Source organism: Homo sapiens, chromosome 5 (genome assembly GCF_000001405.40).
Source record: "Homo sapiens chromosome 5, GRCh38.p14 Primary Assembly".
NCBI lineage: Eukaryota > Metazoa > Chordata > Mammalia > Primates > Hominidae > Homo > Homo sapiens.
In genome coordinates this window covers 93,594,740-93,622,628 of record NC_000005.10, presented here as the reverse complement: position 1 = coordinate 93,622,628, position 27,889 = coordinate 93,594,740, and the positions used below count along the sequence as shown (strand labels likewise).

Below are 27,889 nucleotides of genomic sequence, written 5' to 3'. Positions count from 1 at the left end.
GAGGATAGAGAGAATCCTTGGGAGGGCACTGATAAAGAGAGAGGGGTTCTCTAGTAGGGCCAGCTCCCACAGCTAAGTCAGGCACAGACTGTAGCTTTCTGCTCTCTGGCCGACAGCAGCCATAGCATCCTTATTGTTGTAACTCCTAGATTGTGATACTGTCACAAAACTGTTGCTAGGCAACAAATGTGGTTACCAGGTCTCAGCGAATAGCTGAAGGGGAAAGCAAAGTGTTGCACCATTGTAGAGTAACCATAGCAATGACCTACTATTACAGACTAAAGAATTATCATTAACAATGTTAAAGTATCAGACTGAGGCCCTGAATCCGGAGACTTCCAAGCGGTATCTCTCTGCATAATTGAGTGATCTAGGAAGAGATTTCAACTGTTTAAAAGCTATTCACTCATTATTTCTGTGGAAGTCTGTAATTATTTTAATTTTTAATTTTAAAAAGTGCTCATTTATGAAGCCACTGGTAAAATGCTACATAAGCCATCACAGGGAGTCAAAAATAGCTAAATGTATTTCCTCATCTGTTCTTATGCTTGCATCCGTGTTATCCGCTGCCTGTGTTAAACTGAAGGTCGATTTGATTTGAAAACATGCTGTACATTAGTATTACATCGAAACCACAGAGAGAAGCCGTAGTAAAATAAAGTAACCCCATAAATTGACAACTAACCTGCATTTTCTAAGTTGAATTCCTCCTGATAAAATGGGAGGCCTAGATGCTCTTTTAGTAGTCACGGCTTTGAAACCTTTTTTTTAGCTGTTCTAAATTTGCCCCTTAAAATCTGTAAAAATGTCGCCCGCCAGGACACTTCAAGGCGTAATCCCTTTTGAATGCGGTCCTTCATTAAGCGTCCCGTATGATTTGGTCTCAGTGACCTAGCTGAGGTAATTGTGTCTAACAGCACAGCTTCCGGGAGACGCAAGAAAAATCATTCCCCCTTCCCCTCCACACCACCCCCTTGGGAAGCAAGGAAACAGGCGCTGTGCGATCCCGCACGCAGGGGAAACCAATCCCCGCGCGCGCCGAGTCTCGGGAGTGGGTGGTTTCCCGGAGGGAGAGGGAGTGGCCCTTCCCGCCCAGCGCTTCCATTGGCCCGGAGAGGCGGAGGCCTCGGGCGGCCAGCCGCGCCTCGGACGACCCCGGGACAGATCCGGGCCGCGTCCCCGCGTTGGGAGAGGGATGGGGACTGAGGCCGGAGACGCCTAGACGCCGCGGATAGCGAAGTCTGAGTTCCTCTGAGCCAGGGGGCAAGTGACCCCGCAGCCCTAGTTGTGCCCTGGGAGTCGGCTGGCCCGCGCCCGCGAGGGGGCGGGGGTCCTGGCTGAGGGGCGGGGCGCGGGCGGCTGAGGCGGGGCGCAGGCGGGAGGGGCGGGGAGGGGCGGGACCGGGTGGTCGGGAGCCGGGGCTCGGCCTGGCCCTCGCCGCCCTCACCGCGCCTGGCCCCGCGTGGCCACCTGGTAACCGAATGTGTTGTTCTTTGCAGGCACCGACCGTCACGAGCTAACTTCCTGGAAGAGCTTTCCGTCTATTTTCAAATTCTTTACCGAAGCCTCAGAGGCCAAGACCAGCTCCCTGAAGCCGGCTGTGACGCGCCGCTCCCACCGCATCAAGCACGAAGAGCTGTAAGAGGAGCGAGCGCGACGGGGGAGGCCGCCCTGGCGCACCCACCCGCACGCCTCCTCACTGCTTGTGTCGAGCGGACTCCCAGCCCCTCATTAGATTGTTTTCTTCCCAGAGCCCAGGGTCGTGATATATACATCTAAATAGCGTTTTGCATTATTTCTAGATGAGTGCAACTGTCAAAGCAATATGGGTTCACTGGTCGTGCTTCCTGCGGGCTGAGCGCGGGCTGAGCGCTGCCAGTCAGCGCTCACATTAAGGCTGACAGCGCCCTGCCTGGCTCGGCCGGCGAAGCTCTAATTGCCCTGAAGGAGACCGCGCGGGCGCTGCGGGTCCGGCGGCGTCGGCGCGGTCCTAGCGCCCGCCGTAGCGGAGCCGCTGCTGCTTCCCCCTCCTTAATCATGTCCATCTTTCCCCGCTCTCAACTGGAGCAAACTTCTATTCCAGACTTCAGATTTCCATTTTCACTAGGTTTTTCCCTGAGGGCATCTTATTACCCACCTCTTTTTTTTTTTTTTTAAGGAAGTTCCACACACACTCCAAAGCCGATTTCAAATTCAGAACCTGAATGCCATGATGTACCATGTAGTTTGGGGAATGCAAATTGTTCTCTCCCTGTTTTCATTTCGGGACCAGAAAAAAAAACAACTCTGCATAAAAATCTATAAAGTACTGAATCCGCATTACTGCTGAAAATCCTTTTGCCAGCTAATTGTGAGAGTTTACACAAGTCTCTGATTTCAGAAGAGACTGTTAAAACCAAAACAATGATGGGCAGCTCTTTTAAGTGTAGGTGTGAAGGTCCCATTTTCAATGGAATTTCCAACTGTTATCACTGGGATTGACTTTACTTTTTAAACACATAATGTGTACTGTGTGGCATTGTAATTTAGATATAACACACTTAAGTTTTGCTTTTTAAATCTCTCTGTGGAGAAAGGTTGTTGTTAATCCTTTCCAGAATGATCTATTCTGAGCTTTCCTGGAGTTAGGCCCTTCTAGGGAGAGAATTTTTTTATTGTCATCAGGAAACGAAACCTTTGTGCTCTGCAGCCTTTTTCTTCTGAAAGGCTAAGTGGGGCTAAAATTATCCTTTTAGTTTTCTGCTTTAACAAGAAGAGAAGGACTTGGTGTGAAAGAATTTCTTCTCTCAGTCCAATGGTATAATTTTTAGCACTCCGCTTCCTCTGTAGGGTTTAGCCCTACAGTTTGAACAATTATTTTAATCCAGCTAAGATGTGGCCAACACTGTGAAATACAGGAGATGTTAAGGTTTTGCTGACTTTTAGATTAAAATCTTAAAATTTCACATTATATTTTAATTACTTGAAAAGTTTAATTACCTAGTAAAGATTGTTTCTAATAGATGAGAACATAAATTTAATAGTTTTCATCCTTTTTTAAAGTGTGTGCAACAATTAATATGCCTGCCTTATTTGAGGACATGATAAAATGTACCCAAAATGACTTCGAACTGTCTAATGCCTCAGAAAAGTAACTTAAAATCAACCACTTCGTGCTTAAATGTTTTTATATTATGAACCGATTTCAACAAGTTTTAAAGCTGTTAATATCTCATTGCTGTGTTTGACATACAAGTACATTCATTGGTTCTATAGTCTTAATGATGACAAATTAAAGATGTTTTTTCAGTGCTCAGGTATGCATATATTTTCGTGTTACTTAAGCAAAATCAACTATATAGGAGGAAAAATCAAAATGGCATTTTATTCAGCTACCAGATGGCTTAAAATGAGTAAACCCCAACAACATCAAGCACATTTGTCTGTGATATTGACCCTTTTTATCCAATCATTACTATTTTAGAAGTAGTGGTGAACTGTGTAAAATAATGGTATCTTCAGCAGTGTTCCGGAATCTTAGTTGAGGGACAAACATTCCTTCCAGTGAGAGATTCAAGAATTGATGTGAATTGAATATATTTTTCAAGGTATTATAAATTGTGTTGTGTTTTCAGTATAAGAAAATGTTGACAGGAAACAATTTTATAGCATTTATAAAAAACCAACACTTGTGCAATGCTAAATTGGCGAAGCTTCTGCACCTGAATTAGAGCACAATAAATATGCTGTTTATAAACCAAATCACTGCTATTCCTTCTCTGAAATCATCTCTCCTCTTTTTAAACCTTTACTTATAGCTAGAATAAATCACTATTTAATTGCCTCTAATACTTTAAAACTACTGGATGGTTAGGCCTGGTTTAACTATTTATGGAGAGCTATTTGCAAACTTAAGTTGTGTAAATGTAATTTCTACTTGTGAATCTGAGCTGTAGCAGCCCAGAGGGAGCTAGGCAAACTATTCCAGACCACCAACTGATAAGTGATCAGATTCTTTGTAATGTAGGATTTTTTAACCTGTTGATTATGGGTTTGTTGATATAAATGTAATAATGTTCACCTCGATTTTCCTGGAGTAACAACCAGCGTTGGTAGTAGCCCACCTGCATGAGGACGGCCAGTGTTAACAATATTTTTGTTCTGATCTTCTTCCCCATTTTTGTTTCCTCAAACAGGTTTTTAGGAGAGTGGAGATTTAAAGTCAGGATGTGGCCTTTTTATTTTAATTATATACTTAATTCTTAGAACAAGTAGAATGGGAAAGGAGTGACTGATAAATCTAAGATTCAAAATAGTCCCGTCGAAACTTAAAGGCCAGATTATTGCTTTGGAGCTTTCTATAGGTACTAGCCATCCCGTCGTTAAATGTTTTCATGGATATTTGAAAAGAAGACCATGTACCTTTAATAACTGTTCTTTTCTCGAGTTTCTGCCTCGTGCTTTGACCTGGATTGCATTATTATTGTTTATGCGAAGTAAAAAAAAAAAAGGAAAGCACAAGCTTTTCCTGTATATTATATTTCCATTTCCATTTTAAAATAAAAACAATTTTCCCAACAACAGCGGTGTTATTATTCTTGCTCAGAAGAATTCTTGCTTATTCACCAATTGCATAGAGATTTTTTAAAGCAAAAACATAAAAGGAAGGATGAGACAGCATCCGTCAATATTTTAAACCTTCTGGCTACTTTTTATTTCTGTTAGTATTGCTGTAAGGTAATATCCTAACTTTAGTTGAGTCACTATTTGGCTTGCACCTTTTACAAAGCTAACATTTCTAAGACAGTTGTTTTTAATATCTAAAATATCTCCTTAGCAAGGAAATCTGAACAACCTATCAATTAAATTGTTGTTTTATAAAATACACTTGAATATGCCATAAATAAATGTGTTTTCCAAGAGGAGTCTGGTGAGTTTAAGTTGCCTCCAAGTACATGTATATAGGTTCTTGATGTACTGTGTTCGATCTGAAAATAACTTACATTTCTTTTACAGCTTTCTTAAAACCTTTAGCCCCTTTTAGAGATATGCTAACTGTATTATCCGTGCTAATAAGTTAGATTTTGTTTGTTTCTCTGGATTATCTGCGGTTCAATCCAAACACGTGTGTCTCTTGTTATAATCATATTTTTTACTGTAAACTGACAGGTTCCTGTTGGTGTCTGTAATCCTAATTCATTTAAGAAAGAGTACTACTACAGAAAGTGTAAAAATTTCTCAAAAACTTTCCACATGCCTCTGTGGAGAAAAAAAAATGTCTTTAAATGTGAGACACTCTCATCTTTGAAATATGGGTGGCAAAAAGGGGGATGATGGTGGTGGTTATTTTATTATTACTTATTAGTGGCCATAATAATATAAAATAAAAGACTCCAGGAGGTACTCCCTTTCAAAAATTGAATACTTTCCTTCCTTCCTTATATAGAATGACTGAGTGGGAGTCTCTTGAATTGTTCGTCTTCCTTTTATCTAATATTCTATTAATCTCCAAAAAGATCAGTTTGAGTCTGGGAAAGGGTTTTTAATCAACACTTCACAGAGCTTAAAGCTACCCTACCTAAAGCGTCAGCTTTGTTAGGCGGTTTTAGATTTAAAGCATTGCAACTGTCATGCACTGTACTAAAAGTAAAGAATGTACACCAAGTGGAAGATGTTGAAAAGAGGGGAATAGCACAAAGTCGATTAACGGAGATTCGAGAATAGAAGTAGCCATCAAAGCATTCCAGCATTTATCTCAAAATCTATGTAAGGTTTTTTTAAAAAAGCAACAATGATAGTTTTAAACCACACACTTAAGAGGGATGAATGTTGATTTAATTGATTCATTTGGATCGATGTTTTTAAAGTTTCACACTACTGATCTTTCATGTAGTGATGTCTTTAGCAGTCAGTGGTCTGACATGAGCCTTCTCAGATTTCATCAGTGGGACTCTCCATGACGTCTAAAATTATGCAACAGCCTATGCAATGGTAACTTTAGAATTGGGAGACCTTGATGCCAAAGAGCGTGATTAGATTGAAGAACTCTTGTTAATTCCCAGCACAAAGGTTTTAGAGAAGTAATAACTGTAAAATGAACCACAAAGGTTAAAATCACCAAATATTAAATAGTTGGCTTTAATTGCTAGATGGGAGAAAGTCATCCTGAAAGTTTGACCATGAAGTGGATACCACACAGTGACCACTATTTTCCCCTGGAATATAAAAAGCTTGAAAGTGGAAATTTGACTTAGTCCATGAGGCCTTCTAAGCAACTTTTCCCAGTCCTTCGCCTTGAGATTTGTGAAAAACCTTTCACTATATCCTTTATATTGTTGGAGTTGAGTTCTGTTTGAAACAGACATGAAGCATGTTTCTAGAAAGAAATCTAGAGAAGTCCTACATCTTTCCTTTTAGATCATTCATCTTTTTCTTCCTTGGCTATTACCTCGGGTAATATGGAGAACTGTCATGGGTAAAATAATGTTGAACTGTACTTTGTGGCCAGCCTGCAATACCAATACAAAGAATCTGAAATGAAAAGACAACCAACACCCCAAGAATGATATATCTCCTTTTAAAGTTTACAATTTGAATAATGAATTTGGATAGAAACTTGGCAGGAAAACAAACCATGGCACCATCACATCACCAACCATTTTCACTTTTCTGTCCAATTTCAGAGTGCATGTGTTTGTGAGTATTTCACTAGATCAGTGACAGCTCTTTATTTGCATAATTATATGCTCTGGTCTGAAGAGAAAACTAACCCCCAAATTTCATGGGTCACCAAACTGCAACAATCAATGTTTTATCACGTATGCTAAGCAAAATCTAAGAAGCTATATGAAGTTTCTTGGGGAGTTTTTACTCCTCAGAAAATTAAAGAGTTTTCTCTCCTGAATAGATTCAAAATCTTTCCAAGTTCTTTGTAACTGAATTCTGTTTGAAGGCAAAACTACAGATTAACATGTAGATCTGGATCGTAGACTCACTAGCATTACTTCAAAGTGGCTTAAGAAGAGCAGCATTTTGGGTGCACTATTAAATTCTGAGCACTGTCCTTCATGATTTGAGGGAAAAAAAATCACTGGTCAAATTATGATTAGCCAAAATGAAGTTCGATTAACTACAATTGAGTATAAAGTTCATTTTCTTCTTTAGAATAACTCAAGATTTTAAAAAAGACCTACCTAATTGAAAAAAAATACATATGTCTCATACACACATATTCATCCATGAGGTACATGTGCCCATTCCTGTCCATTTCACCTGAAATACACAGACAACATATACAATATGTCTGTCTTTTCGATGCCTATGGTATAGTAGGTGTTGTGTATATGTTGGTTACCATGAATGTTTGTAAACTTGTTAAATAAATTTTTCATCTTCAATTCTGCAAGGCATTGTAATAAATATTTTATGCTTCAAGTTCATTGAACCTGTAAATTATCTCTCTGTAATGTGCATTTGTGTGTAAGGTTGGCTTTATTTCATTAAAGAAAATTTTATTTAAATTGTTGGTATCTTTAGTTTGTAGGCAATCTGCCAAATTTGAAATACTATAAGGGATAAAGACACATGCAGAGAGAGACTTTTTATGGAGTTATTGAAATCCTGGAAAATATGCCTTTACCTAGATTATTAAGGAATATACTAGGTGCATGATTTAATTCTACAAAAGGAGTTAGATAGGAATTTCATTTCAGAGCATGTAATACAGTGCTTTTTGTTTGAAGTGAGCTGTCAGTTTCTTATCAGGCAATTTACTGTCATCAACAAAAACATCAGGAAAAAAGAAACATTTAAGGGAAAAATTTTTCAAGAATTGCAGTTTTGAAGTGTTTTATTCTCCATCTGAAGAAAGATGAGAGGTCTTTAGGTCAGGCATCAGAAATTTCCTAAAATGTTCTTATTCTTTCAAGTGAAAAAGAAACCAATTCTCCCAAGTTTTTAACTAAAGTTGAACTCGAAACGAAACATTTACCTGCTCTTGAACCTAAAAAATGTAAACCTCTGCTTGTCACGGAACACTGCCCAGGACCACCACATCTCATGTTTGTTACTGTTCTTACTGAAATGTTCAGCTAATTATAACCCCTCTGCTACCCCTCCCCCCATCATCTACCTCCCCAGAAATTGCTGTTTGGACTGAAGATCTTGGATTCCTCTAGGTGAAAATTCCTCAAAATTGAATCTGTAAAAACAAATAAATCCAAGTTTAGCATTTTTATCAAAATGAATTTGTAAGCAAATGAGTCAAAATATAAGGTTAGGGTTAGGAACTATGTGTCTTTGAGTTAGATTAAATACATTCTATTTTTTAGATGGTATAAATCCTTCTAAGGAAAACAATACACAATATTTAGGCCTATTAATTATTTTTGCTTTATATGACCTCTGTGGGAACATTGCTTAGAGTGTCAGATAGGGCTCTCAGTTTTCCACTCTGCCAAAGATGCAGAAAAATTTGTTATTTCCCACTGAATTCCACACATGAGGGGATTGACCCTGTGGCTATAAGGCCTAGGTTTTCTCTTTTTATCATTTTCATTTCTTTTTGCTCACATGTCACCATATCCCATTGTGTCTGAAAAAGGTGCCTCTGATCCAGTTCATCTTCATGTACCTCCAAATAATTTTTCAAAGGTTTATTTTCTTCTTTTTTTAGCCATAATTAAATAAATGGCTTTTTTCCAATAAATGTTCACACCTTCTCTGGGTACTTGGATAATCAGGATTTATCAACTGAAGAAATATTGATGGTTTGTTGTGGTGGTTTTGTTGGTTCCTCCCCTCCCCCCTCCCCATTTTTGCTTTTGCTTTGCATCAGTAAATTACTTAATATCATCCCCTGGAGTAACCACCTCTAAAAATAACCCTAGCACAGAGTGTCACAATTTGGCTTTCATACCGGCTTGAAAAAAACCATTAAAATTGCATTGATCTCACAAATATTGATCTAGTGCTTTATATCAAATATCAAATGAGATGCTGTCAGTTGCTGCTGATCATTGTGTCAGCTGTTTGAATTCATGTCCCTTTCCTTCTTCATTGTCACATGGATTCCAGTTGCGGAGGCTAAGTAAGATTTTCTTGATTAAAACAAATTCAATTACTTTCCTGTTTTGCACATTTCTGGTTGAACCAAACGTAGTTTAATAGTCTACCTGAAATTTTGGCAGGTGATATGTCTGTACATGTGTGTTACAAGAGTGTGATTCAGTTCCTAGGTTATGTTTCTATTTAGCCTAATCTTGAAATAATTTTAACTGTATTCTACTTTATTTCTGATCACCTGTATTTTTAAAAATAAAATTTGTTTTTTTAAAAAATGCAGTTATTAGAGTACCATTTTATAACTTAGAATGAAATCTTAACCATTTCTAATTTATACACACACACACTACAATAGCAAGTTGCTCCTTTTATTCTTGCTGACAAAAATATAACTATAGCTTTTGGCAGGTATGGAGTTTAGAGAATTATTTAAGTGAAATTGAATCTATATATATTTAATACTGCCTCAGTAAACTCATGTTATCTAGCAGGTTAAGTCATGCTGTGCTTTTATTTTCCATCAAATCTGGAAATAGCTAATTGCCCCTGGATATGTTTAGAGTTTCAAATCAAGTCTCAAATCATCCTTTTTATTTCCTCCTTACTCTTTACTTTGTACATCAAGAATTGCTGATTACACTACTTTGAAAAATGGAACACTTTAAAGAAGAAGCTACCAGTTAACACTGCTGTCTAAGCAGTAATGACTGTGAAATATGGAATAGAACCCCCATAAAGTACTATTTAAATTTTACAGCCACATTTGTATTTTCTACATTCGCAGGGAGGAAAAAAAAATCTAGCCGCACGAGTTGTTGGTGTCCGTTTCCCTTTTATACACTTGAGCTTGGTTTGGGGACAGCAAAGCGAAATGAAGCCGCGCTCTCCCCAGCACCATGGACAGCGCCCAGCGCGCGCGCCCCACCCCCCCCCCACTCCCCCCCAACCCGCCCCCTTCCCTCTCCCCTTCCTTGGCCAGAACCCCAACGTTCTGGCCCTCGCCTGATTCCTCTCTCCGACCACTCCCCCGCCACAGAAAACTGGCTCCCGAAATCTTAAGATCTGAGCCTAAAGCGACAGTGACTTTAAAGAATATGCAGTTTGTGGGTGGAGAGTCTTGCTTGCTCCAAGCCGGTGTTACAGCGCCCAGAGTTTACACAACATTTGCCTGAGAGTCTCCTTGAATTTGCATCTAGTCTAAGCTGAAAGCAGCGCCACTCTTGTCATTTCTATGGCAGGGATCTTCCCTCCCCTTTCCCCTTACCCCCGACTTTTCTGTGGCCAACTTTTCACCACCACCCATAGCTGGCAGAAGCTGTACATGACTGCACTTTAAGAGGTCTGTACTGGGAGCACATTCTTCCCGGGCTCTGAATCTGTCTGGAGAGATCTGCATTCCAGAAGATCTAAGTCCATACCCGTCCGGCCCTTGGTCCCACGGCTCTGCCAGTGGCTGGAGCTGTCGGACTGGCTCGGGTGCGCCCAGGCACTGGTTAATTACCTCCCGGAGAGAGGCGGCTCCGCTGCGGGCGCCCGGCCCGCCGCGCGCTAAAGAGCCTGACGGCAACTTACTTGACAGCACCAAAAAGGGGACGCGTCTGGCTCAATACCCATCACCTCTTCTCCTGCTTGCAGACCTTAAGTCCAAGCTGTGCTTTTCGGCACCTCTCCCTGTTTGGCTCTCTTCTTTTTGCCGTCGCGTTAAGCAAAGTACAATAAAGGAAGATCACTTCCCTGTGGTATCTTTTTCATTGCGTGGTCTCCCTAGCAACACTTAAGTTGCCACTCCTAAGACAAGATTAGTTTTTTGTAAATTTCAAATTGCACCTTGCTGTATTGAAACTCTTCTCACTTGCTGGGTTTTGAGTGAAATCTCTTCCCTCCCACCAGGACCCCATTCTGGTCACCCACTCTTTTGAACCGTTGTTGGGGACGAAAATACTAGGTTTAGAGTAGGTGAAACGGTCAAAACCAAATTTCTATTAAATATCAATTGTACTAAAATAATTTCAAACCAACTTGATCCAAACTTTGCTAGAAAGAGTCAGGAATAAGTGAAAAGGGAGAGAACACTAATATCTTAAGTTAATGGGTTTCTTGCCTATAAAATGCCCTCAATAAATTTATTTGAAAACTGCTTCTGTATAGTAACATGAACTACAATACATTTCAGGATAAATTATTATCTATTTGCCATAGTATTGCAAGGAAAATTTTCAGTAAACTAAAGCAAAAGTTTAGCTTCAAAACACTTTATTTTTATGTCCCATAAGACATACAAATATTTTATTAACTCCTTCACGGGTTAACAATTTAGTTTGTTTTCTCGAAACAGCCATCATCAACACACTGCTTTCTCATAGCACTGCTTGCACAAACTTTTTGTCTTTTCTTAGTCTGCAAAGTCACTGCTGAATTCTCCTCAAAGATTATTTTTTTCCCGTAGTTTGGTCATTTTTTCCATCTCAAGAGTCATTTTGCCCAAATACTAAGGTAAATCCATGCTACTAGAGAAACTCGGCCATGCCGGAAACTAAACTAGCAACACGACCCTCCTACGAAAACGGGGGACAACTCACGTTAGCTAATGCAGTTTGGCATCTGAAGTGTGCAGCATAGCGAAGACCTGTTGAATAATAGTGACTTGAAGACTCGAATATTCTAGACTAGGATCCATCTCCCACTATCTAAACCCGCAACTGAAATATCTACATAATGTTTGCATATCTTTGGCCAGTACCCTTTGGGGGAGCTTCCAGGTGCTGAGCTTTCTTCCATCTTTGGATAAATTCGTTCTAGCCTTCCGGAGTTCAGGAGCAAGCAAAGGGAATCAGGTGCAGAGAAGGACGTGAGGTTTTCCTCTGTCGGGGCTAGGGGAGTTGTGGAGATTTGGGGTGGAAGGGACAGCGCTTATTGAACTTCTGGGTGCCTAAGGTTTACTCTCTCAGTCTGGGTTTTGGGAATCGCTTTCTTTCACAAGGGATTTCCTTTATGACTTGGAGGAAAGGGGTAGTTAAGATCTGCATTTCATTAATCAAGAATTTCTTACTTTTTTTAAAAAAGTATGCTCCTAATCCAGTTTCAGAATGACTTTTCTGGATTATTGTAAGTACGTCAGAAACTCCCAGACCTGAGTAGAAATTTCAGAACCACTTTTGCCAGAGAAAACTGTGAAGAAAAGAAGCATGGGAAACTCATTTTCTTTATAATAAATCAGAACATTGAGGATACTGATCAGGTCCCCCTGAGAGGAGCATCTTCAGTGATGTTTGTTCGCCATCTGTGTGTGTTCGGTGAAAACTCTAAACCATTTTACAGCATAGATTACTATTTTTTTCCTTATTATCCAGCGTTTGTTTCAATTAAAACCCTACTATTCCATAGGATTGCTGCTGTTGTATCCATTTTTTTCCCCTTCAAAGTCTTTTAAAATAAGTTTCCTTGTCTCTTGCCCATTTGTCAATGTCAAGTATACACTGCCTATTTAGTTAAAGAAAAGTGTGTATTTCATATGTTATAAAAGAACAGCCTTCTTTATTTGGTTTCTTGGAAATCAATAATCTCTTAAACGTTTACCAAGACCCCTTGGGGAAAGGAGAGATGTAAACAATAACCACCAAACTTCAACATGACAATATCGGTTAAAATCTGCAGGATGATCATTCGAATGTGGAGAGGTAAAGGGGGATGATTTCAAACTCCCGCGATTACGGAAGAAGGGACCCCAGGTGTCGGATGCCTGGCTCCATCCTCTGCAACTTGCAAGGGAGTTACCTTGGAGAGTGGGGAGTTAATTCTAAACTTCTTTACCAGGCATTTTAGTAGCCACGCTGGTCTTCAAATAATTTAATTGGGAGGTGGCTGGATGACCACAGAGAGGTTGCAAAAGATAGTTATCCCCATTAAAAGAAATACCATGATTTCAGTCTTTCCTGACATAATTAAAGGCTTTGGTAACACTCCTTTATTTTGCCTCATGCTGTGAAAAAAATCACTTACTTCTCCAGCAAATGAAACTTTAAAATAAATTCTGCAGTTTAATTTCTGCTTTTAAAAGTTAGTAGGTATACGAGGAAACAGAGAAAGCATTAGAACAACTGAGTTACACTTCAGCTATTTAGCAGTTTAACATTAGAAGGAAGAATACAGCCAGTTTTCAACTTAGCCAACTTTTAAAACTACATGTGTTCCTGGAAAATAATACCCGACTAGAGTCAATTTGCATGAGATTCTAAGCTAGGATCTCAAGAAGGTGATAAAATATATGAAATTTCTTGAGTAAATGGTTGGGGAGGATTTGTAAGCATCTGAGGATCTAGTGATCTATTAGAAGCACAATGCACTCAAATTTGAATTTTCATGATCAACTTTCAACCCTGAAAAAATGAGAGCCATTTGCTTAACTTAATCTGTAACATATGTTTGCACCAGTAGCAGGTTTTTTGGTGTGTGGCTGGGGCTGATCAAGTTGTAAATTTTCTGCTTTAGGTTTTCAGCGCCTGCTAGTTTCAGCCTAACACCTAGAGAGAGTCTTTGCGGGGTTCTTCACCAAAGCAGCCAAGGTTTGACAAAAGGTTTCCAAACCACCGAGCTCTGTGTGTTGTTAATTTCCCCCAAAGGTAGAACATTTCTATACAAATTAGTTTCCAAATCCTAAAAGCAAGTAACAAGTTAAACTCTCCCATGTCAAAGTGTTTAAAGTTATAAAGAGATATTTTTAATTTGCAACCGTTGCCTTCCTCACCAGCAATCCTTTCTTTAAAAAACAGACAATGGTATGAGAGCAGTGGGTGCTGTGAAAATGACATCTTCATTCGACAAAACAATATTCAGGTCTTTTTGGCTTATCTTAATTTTTTCCACCAGAAATTTAGAACTACTGATTTTCTCTCTTCGTGCTTCAACACAAAGGAATCCCTCCAAAAGTGTTTTGAATATCTGAGAAGAATCATTTAGTGATTGAAATAAATATACATTAGAATCCACAAATCATTCTTCTTGTGAAACAAGCTGTGTAGTGACTTTCATTACTAATATTAAAATATATCTCTTTGTAGACATAAATTTTTAGTACTTGGGCTATAAAGAAATCATAATACTTTTTCAATCAATTAATGCTATCTCATAATGACAAATGAAAGTAATAAGTTCCCCACATCAGCCTGATTCATCTTCGAGTGAGAATGGGGAGTAGTGGTGGGAGAGGGTGGTGGACTCTAGTGGGAAACCTCGACGATTGTAAATCACCATCTGGACCTGCTGAGTTGTCCTCTTGAAAACCTCAATCACATTCTTGGAGGAAAGTTACTAAGGTGCCTTTTTAAGTGCACCAGAACAGGTAATTGAACCACACATGTGCCCTAAATTTAGGTGCAGAGTTTCCCTGAATTTCATTATTATATGGATTAAGATGGGCAGCTCCCACCTGGACGATACCTTAATCAAAAAGAGAAAAAGTGTGACGAAAACAAGGGCAATAATAACATTACCAGCACTGTACTGATCAAATGCCCACAAATAGTTCAGAACAACGGTGCTAAAAAGCCGCTTTAATTCTGAAACAGAAAGTCCTGAGACACCGAGCGCCATCTAGCAAGCAAAGTTAGAATCAAAGTATGCCTGAGTCAAGCACAGAGCACAGAAGGACAGGGGATGGGGAGGTAAAGGGGGACTTCGAGATCACTTGCTGTGATTTAACCATCCACCCAGTCTCACCTGAGCCCAGAGCTACCTGCAAGTTTCTGCTCTTCGCCTCACCGACCAGCTCAAATAAACCTAACAACTGAGGTGAGACAGACCGTTTCTGCCTCCAGCCAAGGCTAAAGGACAGCTCCTCGCAGGATTGCTTATTGTCTTTAATTAGAACAGGCCGCTTCTCCATCCCCTCCTACCACCTCCCCAAAATCAGCCTAGTGTCTAACTAGTTTTGCACCTTCTTATCCAAATGGGGACAAAGAGCAGTGCCTGAAAGGCTCACCTTGGGCTGAAATGATTCCCAGGGCTTCAGCGCAGAGGAAAGCGCATCGCTGGGAAAACATAGCACGATATGAGAAGTCACTCTGAGTTTACAAGGCTGCCCAGACGCCTCCTGACAGGCGATCTGAGCTCTCTCCGAGTGGCATAAGACACATATTTACTTAACAAGCCACTGATGGTCATGGAAATGGAATGCTGCCTCCTAAATATAAATGCTGTAACTTTATTCTTCTCCAGGCAACTGGGTCTTTGATATTTTCTTTGGCTGAAGAAAAGTCAAAGGTAGCTAGAAAGCTAGAAAACTACCCTGTTAGTGTGTAGCTTGAAGGGGGTGGGGGTGGGGTTGAAACACTTTTTAAAAATAATTTTAAAGTTTGAATAATGTTACCTAATTATATGAATATTCTTTGGAACTGGGCTAACAATGTAACTACAAAATAAAGCTTCTGGGATTTCAATGTGAAGAAAGTAAAGAATAATCTGCTGGTTTCTGTAGAGGCAGGTACCGCATATTTTTCTTTTAAACCAGTCCATCTGAATTCAAAAGACTGAGAGAGTTCATCTCAATAATATGTGTGCTTTCTAAAGAGTCTTTCTGGAATTTCATTTTAAGGCTGGAAAATAATCCAGTGTATATACATGCTAGTCTTAAACTACTCTTAATTTCCTGCTATTGAATATTGCCTCTATAGTAGCTCATTGATTCACATTGTTCTTAGAATACAGAGCCAGAGCTAGGCTTTTCTATTGTTCTCTCCTCATCTCCATGTCCCACACACAATTTTTTTCCCAGTGAAGTGAAGTTTTGTAAAATAACAACAAAAACAAAAACAAAAAAATTAGAAAATGAAATATTAAAATATTCCTGTTGAATATCAAATGCTACTCCAATCTCAGGTTTGCTACTTAATGAACACAAGCACAATAGATATGAAATAACAGTCCTCTTGATTTTTCTACTGTGCTATTTGCTGTGCAAAACAACCACATTAAGAATAAAGGAAGCATGAGATAAGAGTATGCTTAACACACTCACAGGTCATAGAACTTACAGGAAAAAAAAATCTCAGAAAAATCACAACCCACCCAACAAACCTAAGCCAATAAAGAGAGACTTCATAGTTTAACCCACAATTTAGAACACATCTAATACATTTCTACAAAACCTCCTTTTCTCCTTATGCCTGAAAATATGTGTAAAGATCTGAGGATGGACAGTAGACACAATTCATGCTCTCTCTTATTTCCCTCTCCCTCTCTGAAGTTCAGAAGAAAAGTTCCCAGGGCAGTCTTGCCTCCGGATGCCAATAAAAATTTAACTTTGTGTGTGTGTGTGTGTGTGTGTGTGTGTGTGTGTGTCTTGTTAAATAGTACATTTCTCCCATCAAGGTCTTCTTAAACACGGAACCTTCTCCTAGACAGGGTACCCAGCTGTTTAATTTAACATTGATTTATTGCTTTTAAAAGTAAATTTACACACATGCCAGCAGCGCTCCGTTTTGTTTCCCCAGACCCTGAGATTTATTTTCTACTTAGCGCTTGTCTGACAAAACAATGTCCTTTAACTTTATTACACATCGATAAGGAAATCTGTCTTATTTTTGTTCAGATTTATTGCTGTGTTACTTGTGGGGACTTTTGTGATCCAGAAAGGCTCAGGTCCGAAAATAAATAGAAAATTAAACAGAGTTGATCACAAAATAATGATCAAAACCTTACAATATTGTCCAGCCTATATCAGCCTGCTGGGGGGTGAGGTGGGGTGGGACAGAGGATGATGCTCCCCTAGTGAGCACAGTTGCTCTGGAAGAAAACAAAATGTCTTTAATGGGCAGGTAGCGTTTGAAGGTGGAGTAGCCAAATCTGGGTTCTGTAATATCTCCAAGTTCTTGGTTGAAATGTATTTGGGATTACAGGGCAGGGAGGTGCATCTGCGGGACTCCCCACCCTATGGCGGCCTTACCTCCGTGCAGAACTCCCAATTATCACGCGTTCGTGATGACTGAGCCCAAGGGAATTAAGATGGACTTTGAAGCAGCTTTTACGGTACACTTCATCTACATTTGGGTTTTCTTTAGTTCTCATTAAAAGGGCCACTTTCTTCTTTTCATTGATATATGTCTTTGTGTCCTTCATTTCACACTCTTAAAAAAAGTTCTCTCATCAGATCAAGTGCAAAAAGGAGGGGACGACATAATAACCATCATAATCATGATAACAACAACAACAACAAACAAGTGGTACTGTGGGTTTAAATCTTTTTTAAAAGAAGGTTTTCTCCTCTATATGGCATGGCCCTCCAATTAAAAAAAAAAAAGCTGGGGTTGAGAATGAGGATAATAAAAGTGTTTCTAAGGTTAAATTACATGAAGGCAGGCTTAAAAAAAAATCTCTGAATGTGATGAGCTTTCCTCTCCCATCCTGATTTCTCACAGAGACATTCAGTAATCACTTTAGAGCTGTTCACATGAGGAAATGAGGACACTATCTTTTCTAGTAAGAAGTGAAGATGTGACAGGTTTTGTTATTGGAATGAGGGAGAACTTCGTAAGATATTCCCTTTTTTCGCCCCTACAAACCCAGCATCTTTAAAACCCCCTGTCTGAAAGCGTGACTCGTCTGTTGCCTTTCCACTCTGGTCAGTGGGTCCTCGAAAACACCATAACATGTTTCAATAATTCTGACAAACCCATGAAGATTTTTTAAAGTTAATGAATCATTCTTTCTCCTGAAAACACATAAAAACACGTTTGTGCACGCAATTCCAATCTAATGAGAGAAAGAAAGAAAAGGGAAGGAAGGAAGGAAAGAAGGAAGGAAGGAAGGAACGGAGGGAGGGAGGGAGGGAGGGAAGGAAGGAAAGGAAGGGAGGGTAAGGACAGAAAGGAAAGAAAGAAAAATAGGAAAAAAGGAAAGGAAAAAATATCCCTCTTTAAAAGGGGGGAGGTGGAGTAACTGCGAAACATTGAAAATTCTCCTATTCATATTAGGAGCTTCTTCTTCTTCTTCTTCTTTTTTTTTTCTGTTTGCCCTTTGAAAAGGGGTCCTGTCACTCAGAAAGGGGCTGTTTCTTCAACCTCCTCCCCATCCACCCACCAGCCGGCCCCCCTCAGCCTCGCAGCCGGCCCCGGCCCACCCCGCGGCCCTCCCAGCGCACACACAGTTTCTTCCAAGTGCTTTTTCAAGTAAGAGCCGGAGAGATGAGAGGTGCGGCTTCTCCAGCGCGGAGCCAGACAAGTACTTCTCATCCCGGCGGAGCGCGGCCCGGCGCGGCCAGCCCGAGGCCCGGACGTTCTATGTCAAGAAGCCCCACGGCCCCCCGGGCTGGCCGCCCCTCCCCGCGGCTGGACAGCGACGTCGCGCTCGGGCCTGTCACGTGGCCGCGCCCCCCCGTGCCCCCGCGGAGCCCTTTGTTAAGCCCCCGGGTCTCCACGCGCGGCCGCCGTGGCTGGGGCGGTGCCGCATGGTGGATGCGCCCGGAAGACGATCGGGGTACCCTGGCTTTGCCTCGGCTCACCACGCAGCCCCCAAACACCTTGGGCGGAGGCCCCAAGCACTTGGCAAATCAAGATTCTCAGTCCTTTGAGGAAAACGGCCCTGGGCCACCTCCAGTGTTTCAAACCAAAGGCACAAAGTGGGGCAAGGGGGCCAGTGGAGGGCGCGCCTCTGCACAGGGGTGTAACCACTGGGCTGACTTCCCTCCTCCTTTCCATTCCGCCTCACCAGTTCCTCGCCTTTTTTTTTTCTCTTCTCTTATCCTCTGCCACGCTCAGAGGCTCAGTGGGTGGGAGTGTGTGTGTAAATGTGTGTGTGGTGTGTGTGTGTGTGCGTGCATGTGCAGTTAGGTGAAATTTCATAAGAATATGTCCTAGGCTTATCAACTTGCTAGGTTGAGGGAGGATGTTCTCCAGTAAATGGACTGGAGGGAGAGTTTAAGCGACTTATTTGGGAGGAAATAGGGGGTCAGATTTGGTCTAAGTGGAACATCTGCAAAACATTCAAGCAGCTTATTCAACAAAGAATCTAGCCATTTATTGTAGAAATAATAAAAAGCCACTAATGATTATAGTTCCCACCCCTTCCCCCAAAAGGCCAAATCATAATGAAATAATTCAAAGGTAGGCCTCATTTCCTAATAGTGGAATTAAACAACAACAAAAAAGAGCCCAACTAAACTTTCCAGCTCGGCCTTCTTAAGGGCCTGGGAACCTTGCTGAGAAATTAGGTAAATAAAAGGCGAGATGGAATTTCTGTTGAGCTGAGGCTGCAGTGCCCCGACTTGCACATAGTTCTGCCTTGATACGCAATTAAATTACAGTAAATTCCTCTTTAAATAATAAAATTTGGAAGACTCCTCAGGATTCGAAGATGTCTGGGGTTAAGTAGCTTTTAAAACGTCAGTTTTTAAATGGCTTGTGCAATGAATAGCTACCTTTAAATTCTAAAACCATTATAAATGTGCTATACATCTGGGTGCTAGTTTGTCTCTCCATATTTCTTTTTAAAATGAGGAAAGAATTCATAAAAAGCTACTTGGCACACTTTATTTTAGGAAAGCAGATGTTAATTTTTTCACGTATCATTTTATGACCAAGTACATGTGTAACGTTGGAAAGCATCCAGAACGCCTCTATTATTTGCTAAATGACTGTTAGTTGAGGCGTATTATTCTCAGCCTAACCACGGTATAGGTTATATCAATAAAGTAAACATCTGTGATTTTTTTTTAACCAGGGGAGGGGGTGGGTAGAAAGAGTTACCATAAGCGAGGCAGGGAGGGGAGAGTTTAGGTAGGAAGAGCACACCTGCGTTGTAGCAAATAGAATATTTATATTGTTCGGTGCAAAACAAAGTCCCTCAGTCAGGCACTCGGGGTTATTTACATGGCGGGAGATAAAGTTGAAAGCCTTTTCCGGCGTGCCAAATGGGATTCTCCCAGTGGCCTTCTGCGTAGCAAGATAACTGGTACCGAGTGCTCCTGGCGGCGTCGGGCCTTCTCCCGCCAGCTCCCCTTCCCTGCACGCCAGCCCCAGGCCCAGACCGGGTTGAGCCAGGCGCTCAGGCTCTAGGAATTCCCAGGCACCGCGGAAATTTCAGCGGGGTTCCCAGCCTAGAAATATGCTCAGGAAGCGTCCTCATTTGCCCTGCGTCGCTCGAGGACGCCGGCGCCCAGGATAAGCCAGTGGGGTGATAATTAATGGAATACAATATTTATGGTCCGATGTATTGACTCTGAGGCAAGCGCGCCGTGTAGAGTCCGTGGGGGTCTGACAAACAGGGGTTAGTGAACAAACATAATGACCGGAGTACTTATGTCTATCCGGTTTACTCACTTAAACCCAAGGTATGTAACATCACGATAAATATTAATATCCACCTCGACAGACCCTCAGCACCGCTGTCCTCCTAAACTCTCCCTTCCTGAGCGCTGCCCTTAACAAAAAGGCCAGAGAGGAGGTTTTTAACATAAAATGCTGCAAATATGAAAAATAGGTCACCAATAAAATTGGTCTCAGCATGGAGCGTAATTGCAACAAAGTGCCGCCGAGTAAAATCGAGGAGTGAGCTGGCTGAGGCGGCACAGTCGCGAACCATCTGGTGTGTATTAAGAGTGGTGCTGTAAATATTGCTGAGAGCTAATGCATTATCGGCTTCTATAAGTGCACAGGGCCTCTAAGCTTTCCATATGTTAGAATATGTAGATCGGGTGAGAGCAAGGAAAGGTGTCTTATCAATCACAGGCTTCTAAAGCATTGTTTTGCCCACTCTTTGTGGATTTTTGGCCCCCCAAAGTGTAGGATATACATTCTCATTCTCTCCCCCCACCACCCTTTTTCCTCTTCTGTCAATTCCTCTTTCTCTTTTTCTCTTGCTCTTTCTCCCAGCTCCTTCCTTCCATACCCTCCTCCTCTCTCCCCTCTCTCCAAGGGGATAGGGCAGGCATTGCTGACGTCACTTCACATCAGTAAAAGAGAGTAACTGTTTCAGAGAGGAAGAAAAAAATCATCTGTTTTTCATCAGTACTAAAGTTTTGCCTCTTTAATAGAAATGGGCTGCCCAGGCTGAGTACTCCTTGTGTTTTGAAGCTTATAATCACTACTACCCCCTTTTGGAGGGTGGCCCAAGAGGTGGGGAGGTGTTCTTCATCCTGTGCGCTGATTCATTTTATATGTGGTTCTAATGCCAGAATCAGCTCAAATAGATGAAACTAATAAGGTGCAAAGATAATGTCTTCTAGAGATTTCACATCTACACCTCCTAGGCAACTTTTGTCAAGGAGAGTGGAGGGCTCCTGGTTCCATGACACTTCTGCTTTGAGTCCTGGAACTTCTTCCTTTCTCTGGAGCCTCCCTCCATAATTCCACCCCCCACATACCTAACCGCCACACACAGCACAGCTAATAAATTTCCTGCTGTCACATTACTTTTCTGGGGAAAACAGAGTCCTCCTTTTCCTGATGATACCCCACATCTAAGAGTTTACTATAATTACCCCCCATCTCCTCTGAACCCCTCTCCACATATTCCTCAGCTACAAGTTTTTAGTCAAATCCAGTGCTAGGAAGTTTATTTACGTTGTCCCACAGAGATCATTTTCTCTCCTTCAAAATTGGCCTGGTCTGTTATTCTTCCTACTTTCCTTCTCCTTCCTTTTCTCCCCACCTCTACCTCCTGTGCACATATAGTACAAACCTCCAGCACTTCTAATGTGGATAAACCTGCTGGTCATGACAACCCAAGTTCAATCAGCAAATAAATAAAACTCTTACTTTTCTTTTTTGGCTGCCGGCTGCACTCCCCCTCTGGCCGTTGCCTCCTTTAATTATAGGAGCTATATTTCTTCCCTGGGAGACATTCGAGGGGATTTTTAGTTGGAAACTCGTTTCTGCTGAGTTATTTTGGAGCCAGGACCAGTGAGTGAGTGGCCCGTACCCAGAGGCTTTGAGTGAAGTGCAGATTGAGACATATCGAGTTCCCTTTAAAAGGATCATTTCATGTGGGAGGCTGGACACAAAGTTTGCACTCGTGACTGGCATTCCAGTGAGAGACATGCATATTTTAAAACAACAAAGCAAGCTGGAAAGAAAGCTTAGGGGAGGGGGAAAAACTTGGAAAGAAGTTACTAAGTGACAAACATCTGTCAACATGGGATAATTTGTACACTCCAATGTAAAACTATCTGCCTAGTTTGATGGAGTTCAAGGAACAGGATCTGGGAGAGCAAAGTGGATACATATTTATCCCCGTTGAGATATGGCTAAAAGACACTTCTCCCCCAAATAGGTGTAAGGTCATTAAAACTGCATGATTGAGCATAATTTTTAAATGCTTCTTACAACAATAGAAATTTCTAAAATTGCATTTTTCTGATAGTTAATACAAAACTAGATCTATGTAATTTTAAGATGTATTTCATTTAAAGAACAATGGAGAGCAATAAAATAATGAGCAAGATGCTTATTACAGAAAACAAAATGAATTTTATCTCATAATAAAATATGACCAAGAGAAAGAAAGCGGGGTGGGAAGCTCAAACAACCCCTGATTGCTATGTTCTAGAAAGTTTTAACCGAAAGTACCAGCTTTACATGTGTATGTGAATCAAACATGTAAACATCCACCTCTCTTTGTGTAAACAAGGAAAAATGGCAAAATATTTTCAGAGAATTTTTCTCTCCCATTTAAGTTTGAAGTTTCAACAAGCATATTATACTTTGAGAGAGAAAAGCAAAAAAGTTCCCTCTTTAAGAGGAAAGTTTTTAAAAGCAGAGTGAAAGATCAGGCAAGATCCTGGTATGTCTTTTTTTAGGCACCGAATCTCCAACAACCACATGGAAGTTCAGGCTCCAGCTTCCACCGAGAAATCTTTTTCTCCTCCAGATCTGAAGACAAAAGGAGAGGAGGCCTGGTGGTGAGCGGGATATCTCTGTTAGTTGTCAGCGCAGGTCCATGGGTTAGGAATGCTAATGAGCCTCTTGGCCAGCTGAAGACTTGGTTCTCTCTCTCGCACACCCTGACGCTCACATACACTCGGGCTCCTGCATGCCGACTGACAAGCACACAGACAGAGCCTCGTGCACGACCCTGTCTCTCTCCTCTTTCCTCTGAGCCCAGAGATCGATCGCTGACCCCACGGTTGGGCCAACGCTTTATTTATCTGGCTGTGCAATGATATTATCAGCCTTAAACGTTATATACAGCAAATGTCTTCCTAAATCAACACAATAGGATAGCTTGCAGAGACCAGCCTGGTCTTTCTTAAAGAAATCCCTCGCTATCTCTTTCTCTTTTTCCTCTCCCCTGCAGGCACCCCTTCTTCCTTCCTCCTTTTCACCTGGGGGTATTTTATATGCTGGACTTGGGGATTTGATCCTTTGCTTTCAGCTTGGTTAGAGGAGGCCTTCGCAGACCAGGAGATGGATAGACACCATTATCCAGCCATCACTGAGATCCCCATCAGGGGTTCCCTTGTCAGCCGGATCCAACTGCCTAAAGCCACTCTATTCACATGATCCGAATTTCTCAAAATTGGGGTAGAAGAGAAGGCCAGGGGTGGGGAATGGAGTGTGCAACCTTGCACCGTGTTAATTGTTTTCTTTCCTCTCAATTACATTCATAAACCTATTTTCTGCATTGCATGTTATTTCTTTGTGCTTCAAAATTGAAATCACGTGCAGCTTTCTCCCTTCCGCACACACAATAAATGCGCTGCCCCCTCCCCCAAACCCATCACGCAACTGTTTACATCTTGGTTACTCACTCTGCACTTCGGCCCCCGGAGAAGAAATTGGCCCCGTGGGACTTGGTGAGGCTTTGTGAAAGCATCTCTCAAATCCGTATCTCGGGCCCCCGTTCTGGGAGAAAGGCTCCTGGATTCGCCTCCCGGGCCTCCCCACCACCCCCTCCTCGTACAGGTGGTTGAGGCTTACACAGGGAGAGCTAGTAGAGAGGACATCCAGGGAGAAAGGCAGCTCCGCAGTGTCCGGCCAGGACTACTCACAACCCACCCCACACCCTGGCTCGCCTGCCAGCCGGGGTCAGCTGTGACCACGGGCGTGCCTCTGCCAGTCCCTGGTCCCCACACCCTGGGCGTAGCAGATCCCGCACAGGGAGAGGCTACTCCCTGGGGAGCATTCCAACCCCAGGTTCTCCCAGGCAAAGAAGTCCCACTATAAATAAATAAATAAACTCCAAAGGGGGGGAGGGGGAGCTGGAAAATGGATTCGCTGACAAGGAGAGATAATAAATGAGAGGCGCTTTCAGATAGATATCTCAGACGTGAAATTGCGCCCAGCTGGTTGTGTAAGCAAACAAATAGTTTCATGTTAGGAACTCTCAACTTGTGACTTGATGAATAGGACACGACAGAGGTAAATGGGTCTTTAACTCATTTAGGGATACAACTCTTTGGCTTCCCAAGTAAAAGGCCCAGTGACGCCACGGATCCTGAGCAGGCCCTTTAACAAGAGTTTTATTAGTTCCCACTTGTGTCCCCCTCCACTCCTCCTCACACTCCTCATGGTCTGCTATTTGCAGAGACATTCAGGTGATTTGTTCTGAGGAATTGCAGAGCTCACAGGAGGCAATTCTGCCACTGTAGGAGTTATAAGGAGTGCCTACGATGAAAGAAGAGGAGAAAGATTTTTAAAAATAAAATCCCCCCACCCCCCTACATGCTTCAAGCAGACAAGCTCAGGTGGGCTCAGATAGAGGGGACTCCAGATCCCCATCACCCCTGAATGCAAAGCTGGGTGGTCGGACCTCTTGGGAGCCAACCAAGAACCTTTGTGGCTGCCAGAGTTTAAGAGCCTGGACCAACTGGAAGGGTGGAGTCCCCAAAGCTCATGGTTCTCCTGGTGAGCAGGAGGGACCCACATTCCCACCACAGGCTTCCACTCAGCCTGGTCCCAGGTTGGGATGTGCGTGTGGGAACAAAGGTCATACTTTTCCTCCCTAGCACCAGGCCTTGTCCCCTGGCTGCGGATAAGGTGCAGACTCCTTCCCTAGTGATTCCCAGAGAAGAGCACGTCCTGAGATGGCTTTTCTGATGTTTTCCACAAAGCTTGTGGCTAAGGTAGTTTAAACAGACTTCAAAGCTCCTAAAGTTCTCATTTGTCCAGCAAGCCTTTGGGTTAGAACAGCGAACGTTTGACTCTCCTAAGTCACTGGTGATTTCGAGAGGGAAGTCATCTTATGTGGCAACCTCCAACTGGTAAGAAGAATTTCCTCTTGCCCTGGGGAAAGAGTCGGCTCTGCCCCGCCCAGTTAGCCCAGCCCTACTCTCCTGACTCTTTAGGGCTGCCACCGCCCCTGCAGGAGAGGTGTGGCTGCGAGCCCAGGGCGACTGCCCGGCCTACACCTGCTGGGAGCCTCAAGCCCCGGTTCCACGGCTCCCCCTGGCGCCCCGCATGAAGGTGGGCTCACTGCTCAGGAATCTTCTGGAGGCCACCCAGGCAGAGGAGGCTCCCAGCTACTCCACCTCGCCTCCTGCCCAGGTCCTGGGCCACAGCCGCAACCGGGGGCTGGGGAAACACAGGACGCTGAACCCGGGGCAGCCTGGCCCCTACTGGGGCCTGTCCCTCCGCGCCGAGAGGAAACCGCTGACCGCTCCGCCCTCAGCCCGCAGGACTGGCCACTGTCAGCCCGGCCTGGGTCGGGTGGGGGAGCCTTCACATCGCCAGAACTGAGAGCAAGGGTACTTCCCAATTATCAGAAGGCTCAACTCGTTGCTCAGATAGACGCGTCGCAGCTCCCAAACTTCCCTTAGCGCGTGCAGATTCCTGTCTGCCCTCTCTGTGAAGGAAAGCCAAGGGCTCCTGCAACCTGTTCGGCCCGGCGGGGACGGCCACATGACCTCTGATTCAAGGCAGACTCTGTCTCTCTCTGGATGAGACACACAGAGACCTCCGGTCCTGGAAAGACGACTGACTCTCTGTGGGTAATGCAGACAGGGGCCACCCCAGTCACAGAAGAGAAAGAGGAGAAACCCACTGCGGGGAGATGGGGTGGGCAGGACGCGCCTGCGGAGCACTGGAGAACCCCCACCTCTCCCTTCCCTTCAGCCCTAGGGCCTCCTGCTCCTAGAGGAGCCCGGGAGGGAGGCTGGGCGGCCATAGGAGGGCCTGCACTTCTTCCTAGGCTGTGAAGATTGGCCCCAGGCTTGAGCCCAGCCTTAGAAAGGTCGCTGGGATTCCCGAGGTCATGGGCAACGTTCCAGCCTCGTGGAGCAAGAGCCAAGTTAACCACTGTCACCTCTGGACACTAGAGCACGCGCGGGTACATCTCGGGCTACTGCAGCTGGCGGGCCAGTCTACACTGGGCGCCTTGCGCTTGGGCCTCCATATTGAGATTAATTGAAAAATACGTTTCCGACCTACGAAAATGTTTATCTGTTTTCATCAGAGGGATCACACTGTAATGAATATATTTACATCTCATTTCAAGAAAGGCAGGAAAGATCGCTGAGCTCTCCGAGGCAGCTCGTCTCCCCTCCCCCTCGGAATCCGGTTGCAGCCCACCCCACCCCAATCCGGATCCGGCAGCCAGTGGGGCTCCCTGATACTTCTTGGGAAGCGGTCAGGGGTTAACTATGGACTCTCCCCAACCCCTCCTGCTTTAGGTGTCCAACCTGCAGGGAAGTCAACAGAGGCCCTAAGACGTTATTCCTGGGCGTGGTGCAGAGTATGCGGCCCGGGGAGGGATAAAACGGGTCCCAGTGGCTCCATATCCTACCTGCCTGGCCGCCCTAGCTCAGGCCGGTCCCCAGGCTGGCCCAGGCTGCGGATCGTGGGCCTGCAGTGGCATCTTCACAGAGAGTGCGGCACTGCCCATGCTGCGCTGCACCCAGAATATTAAAAACCACAAGCGGGTTGGAGTGTAGGAGCTTGTTAATGCATTTGGTGGCGGGGGGTGCCGGGGAGACGTGGAGACTTCCAGATAGCACACTGAAAGCAAAACATTGCCAGTGACTTCTGAAAGTGAAGCTCTTCCCTCATCCGGGCCTGTTTGGGGCTGAGGGAAGGGGGAGGGGTGAGAGGTGTTATTTTAAAAGATCTGGCTTTATTAATACGTTAAGAAAGAGCTCCCTTGGCAGTATGTGTTCTCGCAGCGCCCGCTCTGATCCTATAAAACATTCATGCTCCGAAAGCTGTTACAGAGAGCTGACCCCCAAGCACACCCACCGACAGGCCTCAGCGGGAGGCTTCTGCCCTCAAAGGGCCACTAGGGCCCAAATACCTCTTCTGTGAAGAACCCGCTCCAGCCCTCTGACTCCCAGGTTCCGGGTCCACGCCCCTAAGTGCCACAAGCGGGGCGGGGCAGGGGTTCCTTTCACCCATCCGAGTTCCAGGACCCTTCTGAGAACCCATGTCACAGGGTCTGGAGTGAAGGGCAAACCACAGCCAGATCTTCAGTGGACCATAAGGGGGAGCAAAGCCAGGACTCACAGCGCTGAGGCTCCAACTGTCTCCCAGAGCTGGAGAGAGGCGGGTTCTACCAGCGCCGGGCTCAGTGGCGTCTGAACGGCCCACTCCCGTCACCCCCACGTCCCGCTCTCCATGTCCCTCTGTAGCTTCTCCAGCTCAGCAAGTTCCCACATGCGGTAAAGCCCCGGTTGCCGCCGCCAGACACTGAAGCCGGCTGCGCCCCCGGTGCTTGGTGCCTGGAGACTTACCGGGCGCGCGACCCTGCCTACACCACTCCCTGGCCCAACTGAGCACGGGACCGCCCGCAGCCCACCAGGTCTCAACGGCTGAAGTCAGCGACCAAGGCGCCCTGCCTCCCCGCGGACCCCAGCCCATGTAGAGCCTGGCCCTCCGCATTTACAAAACCAAGGTAGCAGCTTGGTTTTTGGAAATGAATCTAACCAACT

The 27,889-nt window shown here is 43.6% G+C and overlaps 1 protein-coding gene, 2 long non-coding RNA genes and 1 other non-coding gene across 22 annotated transcripts in view, besides 7 other annotated features; 2 read left to right on the top strand and 2 right to left on the bottom strand.

The window, feature by feature from the left end:
* LOC124901028 (uncharacterized) overlaps nt 1-947 on the bottom strand; it is a 53,162-nt gene extending 52,215 nt beyond the window's left edge. Inside the window, exon 1 of the long non-coding RNA XR_007058874.1 lies at nt 686-947. This is a non-coding gene — a long non-coding RNA (uncharacterized LOC124901028). The remainder of the gene's footprint in view (nt 1-685) is intronic.
* The window catches only part of ARB2A (ARB2 cotranscriptional regulator A), a 493,975-nt gene extending 489,071 nt beyond the window's left edge, over nt 1-4,904 (top strand). For all 19 annotated transcript variants that reach the window (NR_028080.1, NM_001163418.1, XM_005272110.4 and 16 more), the window contains one exon: nt 1,500-4,904. Coding sequence is in view for 18 of the 19 variants with exons in the window: in NM_001163418.1 (NP_001156890.1) it covers nt 1,500-1,642 (143 nt within the window). In the remaining variant the exon portion in view is untranslated. The remainder of the gene's footprint in view (nt 1-1,499) is intronic.
* Nucleotides 1,283-1,332: a silencer, noted in NCBI's record as "silent region_16179". NCBI's record gives its function as "represses an Ori minimal core promoter by ATAC-STARR-seq in GM12878 lymphoblastoid cells {active_cell/tissue: GM12878}" and the evidence as "EXISTENCE:reporter gene assay evidence [ECO:0000049][PMID:35858748]".
* On the top strand, nt 1,841-1,933 carry MIR2277 (microRNA 2277). The gene has a single exon (NR_031754.1). It is a non-coding gene; the product is annotated as a microRNA 2277 (primary transcript).
* Nucleotides 3,687-4,495: an enhancer, noted in NCBI's record as "OCT4-NANOG hESC enhancer chr5:92953840-92954648 (GRCh37/hg19 assembly coordinates)". NCBI's record gives its function as "activates a minimal SCP1, AML or CMV promoter by ChIP-STARR-seq in naive H9 embryonic stem cells {active_cell/tissue: H9 hESC(naive)}" and the evidence as "EXISTENCE:reporter gene assay evidence [ECO:0000049][PMID:30033119]".
* Nucleotides 14,512-14,806: a silencer, noted in NCBI's record as "tiled region #13970; K562 Repressive non-DNase unmatched - State 13:Ctcf". NCBI's record gives its function as "represses a minimal TATA promoter and a strong SV40 promoter by Sharpr-MPRA in K562 cells {active_cell/tissue: K562}" and the evidence as "EXISTENCE:reporter gene assay evidence [ECO:0000049][PMID:27701403]".
* Nucleotides 22,738-23,239: an enhancer, noted in NCBI's record as "NANOG hESC enhancer chr5:92935096-92935597 (GRCh37/hg19 assembly coordinates)". NCBI's record gives its function as "activates a minimal SCP1, AML or CMV promoter by ChIP-STARR-seq in primed H9 embryonic stem cells {active_cell/tissue: H9 hESC(primed)}" and the evidence as "EXISTENCE:reporter gene assay evidence [ECO:0000049][PMID:30033119]".
* LOC124901027 (uncharacterized) lies at nt 24,464-25,327 on the bottom strand. The gene is made up of 2 exons (XR_007058873.1): nt 24,964-25,327; nt 24,464-24,635 (listed from the first exon to the last, which is right to left on the bottom strand). It is a non-coding gene; the product is annotated as an uncharacterized LOC124901027 (long non-coding RNA).
* Nucleotides 25,000-25,799: an enhancer, noted in NCBI's record as "H3K27ac-H3K4me1 hESC enhancer chr5:92932536-92933335 (GRCh37/hg19 assembly coordinates)". NCBI's record gives its function as "activates a minimal SCP1, AML or CMV promoter by ChIP-STARR-seq in naive H9 embryonic stem cells {active_cell/tissue: H9 hESC(naive)}" and the evidence as "EXISTENCE:reporter gene assay evidence [ECO:0000049][PMID:30033119]".
* Nucleotides 25,274-25,323: a silencer, noted in NCBI's record as "silent region_16178". NCBI's record gives its function as "represses an Ori minimal core promoter by ATAC-STARR-seq in GM12878 lymphoblastoid cells {active_cell/tissue: GM12878}" and the evidence as "EXISTENCE:reporter gene assay evidence [ECO:0000049][PMID:35858748]".
* Nucleotides 25,800-26,600: an enhancer, noted in NCBI's record as "H3K27ac-H3K4me1 hESC enhancer chr5:92931735-92932535 (GRCh37/hg19 assembly coordinates)". NCBI's record gives its function as "activates a minimal SCP1, AML or CMV promoter by ChIP-STARR-seq in naive H9 embryonic stem cells {active_cell/tissue: H9 hESC(naive)}" and the evidence as "EXISTENCE:reporter gene assay evidence [ECO:0000049][PMID:30033119]".